Raw genomic sequence first — 4975 nt, 5'->3', positions numbered from 1 at the left:
AAGTGCCCTGGGCCATTAATGACCACTCTGTTTATGCCTAAGGGGGACATGTAGACACCTGTAAAGACAGACTCAGCTGGATGAGCCAGAGACAGTGATGGCCATGGTCCATTGATGGCTTTGCTCAATAGCATTGCAAAGACCAGTTAATGTAGTTTGACTCTAACAGCAAGGAAATCTACAGATTCTTTCTCAGCTTTTCCATGATATCTGACGTATTCCTCTTTTATGGTAGAAAGCTTAAGTGCCACACCCCTTGAGGTCTTCCCTTTGGTTTTGCAAAAGTATAGTTTGGGAATCAAAAGCACGCTAAATGCTTTGTATTCCCGCTCGAACAATCCTCATTCTCTCAAATGCTATGGGATTCTTCTAACAAGGGAAGGTTGTGGCAGAGGGAGAGATACTAGCAAATTTATATTTTCAAAGTTTATCTCATTGCATTTTTATGGAATGAGGCAAAGCATGGCTGGCCATTTCCCCTGGGGTAACAGCATGTATTTGGTGCCTTTGGAATGCCAGGTGTTCTGGATAGCCATCTCCTTTGGTTCAACATCATTTATTTGAATAGAACAATTCCTTACGACTATGAAGTATCCTCATCAAGACCAGAACTATTAGATTGTAAACTCATCATCTTTACACTGCAAGTCACTGTCCCTAGAGAACAAAGTAGCTTTCCCTTCCTCCTAGGTCAGTGGTTCACAAACTTTGCTATAAATTAGAATTACCTGGATGACTTTAAAACTTTTTCCTCACATAAATTGAAACAAAATGTCTATGGGCAGACAAACCAGGTATCAGCAAGTTTAATAGAACAATGGGAGATGCCAGTATATAGTCATGGCCTAGTAACTACTGGAGGGCTTAGGAGTGATCATCAGGCCACTTTATCAGAATAGCTTTCTGATAAAGAAATTAGTGGTGAACAATCTATGGTGACTGGGACTGAAGTGGGCAGTAGGAAGAAGAAGAGACAGGTTTCAGTGAGCTTTAGAAGCAGGTGGTCCTGGAGAGATGAGGATGATGGGGTGGGGGTAGGAGAGTCCTTGTTGGTGGTGTGAATTCATGCAAGAAAATGTTTATCTTTCCCCCCAAGTATGAATATCTGATTAGAAATCAATGTTAAGATAGTTTTATTGGCTGAATTGTGTCCACTCAAAATTCATATACTAAAGCTCTAATTCCTAGTATCACAGAATGTGATGGTGTTTGGAGATAGAGCCTTTAAAGAGCTTATTAAGTTAAAATAAGGCCATGAGGGTAGGCCTAATTCAATCTGACTGGTAATCTTATAAGAGAAAATTTGGGAGAGGGGCTTTAAGATAGCTGTCTAGATTCATCTGGTACTTGCCTTTTCCATGAAGAGGAACCAGAATAGTGAGTAGACAATCAAACTTTGATTAGATCATCTAAGACAAATGCTGGAATTCAACAGAGAAGTGACAGGAAGCACCAAAAGCAAGGAAGGAGAGGGAAGTGAAGCAGCCTGCTGAGCCAGCATTAACTAGGAGCCCAGAGAGGCTCCCTAATGCAGGGAAAGAGTGAGAGACTCCCAGTGGTTCACATTCCCACCCTGGACTCCCACAGTCCTAGCCATGGGACAGCCCCATTAACCCTCAAGGGCTCTAAGACTAACAAAGAGAGCTGCCTGGAGGTCGTACAATGGCATTGCTCCAGAGAGAGACATCTCGCTGAGTCCCACAAACCCCCAAGACCTAAGCAGCTACAGTAGAGCACCATTTTGAAAACCCAATCCGGACCAGACTATGTCCTGCCCCAGGGCGCAACAGCTCCCCACTGCATCTTCACATCCCTAGAGGCTCATTGACGTTCCCCTCTCACAGTTGCAGCTGCCAGTGCCAAGGCAGAAGCCACAGTGACCCTTCTCCTCCTCCCTCCCCATTGTAGAGGAGAAGCTGCACATTTTTATGCATCCTAAGGACAAATTCCACCTCCCACAGCCTCTACAGCTGTGATTTGCTGTGAGGCCTCAGCAAAGCATATGCCCCCAGCCACCTAGCTACAGCTACTGAAAGCAACCCCCACATTTTTCAGTCGGCGGGCCACACACACCTGCTACTGCCCCCACCTGAGCATTCCACCAGCAGCCTATGATCACCCTGCCCCTGCCTACTATCACCAGTGCCTGCATGCACTAACAGGGGGGCCTGAAGACAGGTACACTAAGCCCGGCTCTGCCTTCCTCGCCCAGCCCAGTCCACCATTGTTGGCACCTGACCACACCTTCCAGGGTCTGGAGTCAGGCTCACACAACCTGCCACCAACACCAGAGCTGGCACTCACCCACACCTACTACCTGCAGGCTTGAGGACTGGCCCATCCAGCCCATTGCAGCCACTGCCTATACCAGCATGGACTATGTGGATTCTAGAGGGTTGCCCCACCACTACTACTGACATTGCTCATGCCATGCCCACTACTTAGGGTCTAAAGAATCTGCTCTTCCACATAGCCCCACTGCTACCATTCCCAACACCTGAGCAAGCCACATGGAGACCCAAGAATTGGCCTGCCTGGTCCTACTAACACCGTTGCCAATGTATGCCATCCTGGGGCCCAAGAATGGGCATGATCAGCACACTGCTGCCACCACAGGGGCCCAAATACTGGTCCACCTGATATCATAGTCCCCAGTAAAACTTCACTACAGCCTCCACTAACAACCACACCCTAAACTACCAAGGAAATCACAGACACCACTGATGCTATTTGCAACCAAAGAAATCATACAGAGACTGTGCTACTACTACTAAACCTATGCAGAATCAAAGCCAAAGTGCTCTACCCAACCAACACCATAGATACATCCACAGGAAATATCCTCCCTCTATTAGTCTGCTTTCACACTGCTGATAAAGATATACCCAAGACTGGGCAATTTACAAAAAAAAAAAAAGGAAGTTTACTTGGATTCACAGTTTCACATGGCTGGGGAAGCCTCACAATCATGGCAGAAGGCAAGGAAGAGCAAGTCACATCTTACATGGATGGCACCAGGCAAGGAGAGAGAGCTTGTGCAGGGGAACTCCTCTTTTTAAAACCATCAGATCTCGTGAGATTTTTTCACTATCACAAGAACAGCATGGGAAAGATTTGCCCCCATGATTCAATTACCTCCCACCAGGTCCCTCCCACAACACATGGAAAATTAAGATGAAATTTGGGTGGGAACAAAGCCAAACTATATCATTCCAACCCTGGCCCTCCCAAATCTCACATCCTTACATTCCAAAACCAATCATGCCTTCCCAACAGTCCCCCAAAGTCTTAACTCATTTCAGCATTAACTCAAAAGTCCAGAGTCCAAAGTCTCATCTGAGACAAGGCAAGCCCCATCCACCTATGAGCCTGTTAGTTACTTCCTAGATGCAGTGGGGGTACAGGCATTGGGTAAATACAGCCATTCCAAATGGGAGAAATTGGCCAAACAACAGGAATACAGGCCCCATGCAAGTCTGAAATCTAGAGGGGAAGTCAAATCTTAAAGCTACAAAATGATCTCCTTTGACTCCATGTCTCACATCCAGGTCATAATGATGCAAGAGGTAGGTTTCCATGGACTTGGGCAGCTCCACTCCTGTGGCTTTGCAGGATAGAGCCTCCCTCTCAGCTGCTTCACAGGCTGGCATTGAGTGCCTGTGTCTTTTCCAGGTGCACGGTGAAATCTGTCAGTGGATCTACCATTCTGGGGTCTGGAAAATGATGACCCTCCTCTCACAGTTCCACTAGGCAGTGCCCCAGTAGGGACTCTGTGTGGGAGCTCTGACCCTACATTTCCCTTCTGCACTGCCCTAGCAGAATTTCTCCATGAGAGCTCTGCCCCTGCAGCAAACTTCTGCCTGAATATCTAGGCATTTTCACGCATCTTCTGAAATCTACACTGAGGTTTGCAAACCTCAATTCTTGACTCCTGTACACTCACAGACTCAACACCATGTGGAAGCTGCCAAGGCTTGATGCTTGCACCCTCTGAATCCATGGCCCAAGCTCTACTTTGGCCCCTTTCAGCCATGGCTGGAGTGGCTGGGATGCAAGGCACCAAGTCACAGGGACCCTGGACCCAGCCCATGAAATAACTTTTTCCTCCTAGGTCTCTGGGCCTGTGATGGGAGGAGCTGCCATGAAGACCTCTGACATGCCCTGGAGACATTTTCCCCATTGTCTTTGGGATTAACATTTGGCTCCTGTTTCTTACGTAAATTTCTGTAGCCAGCTTGAACTTCTCCTCAGAAAATGGGATTTTCTTTTCTACTGCATTGTCAGGCTGCAAATTTTCTGAACTTGTGTGCTCTGCTATCCTTATAAAACTGAATGCTTTTAACAGCACCCAAGTAGCCCCTTGAATGCTTTGCTGCTTAGAAATTTCTTCTAACAGATCCCCTAAATCGTCTCTCTCAAGTTCAAAGTTCCACAAGTCTCTAGGACAGGGGCACAATGCCACCAGCCTCTTTACTAAAACATAACAAGAGTCACCTTTGCTCCAGTTCCCAACAAGTTCCTCATTTCCATCTGAGACCACCTCAGCCTGCACCTTATTGTTCATGTCACTATCAGTGTTTTTGTCAAAGCCTTTTAACAAGTCTCTAGGAAGTTCCAAACTTTCCCACATTTTCCTGACTTCTTCTGAGCCCTCCAAACTGTTCGAAAGTCTGCTTGTTACCCAGTTCCAGAGTTGCTTCCATGTTTTCAGGTGTCCTTTCAGCAGCGAACCACTCTACTTGTACCAATTTACTAGTAGAGTTTATTAGTCCATTTTCACACTGCTGATGAAGACATATCCAAGACTGGGCAATTTACAAAAAAAAGAGCTATTGGACTTACAGTTCCATATGGCTGGGGAAGCCTCACAATCATGGCAGAAGGCAAGAAAGAACAAGTCACGTCTTACATGGATGACAGTGGGCAAAGGGAGAGAGCTTGTTCAGGGGAACTCCTCTTTTTAAAACCACCAGAT

The 4975-nt window shown here is 46.5% G+C and overlaps 1 annotated feature.

Annotated features, from left to right (window-relative positions):
* Nucleotides 1771-2271: an enhancer, noted in NCBI's record as "H3K27ac hESC enhancer chr7:114373209-114373709 (GRCh37/hg19 assembly coordinates)". NCBI's record gives its function as "activates a minimal SCP1, AML or CMV promoter by ChIP-STARR-seq in primed H9 embryonic stem cells {active_cell/tissue: H9 hESC(primed)}" and the evidence as "EXISTENCE:reporter gene assay evidence [ECO:0000049][PMID:30033119]".

This window comes from Homo sapiens, chromosome 7, assembly GCF_000001405.40.
Source record: "Homo sapiens chromosome 7, GRCh38.p14 Primary Assembly".
Taxonomy (NCBI): domain Eukaryota; kingdom Metazoa; phylum Chordata; class Mammalia; order Primates; family Hominidae; genus Homo; species Homo sapiens.
Note: the sequence above shows the minus strand (reverse complement) of the source record. Positions and strands in the feature narration are given on the sequence as shown.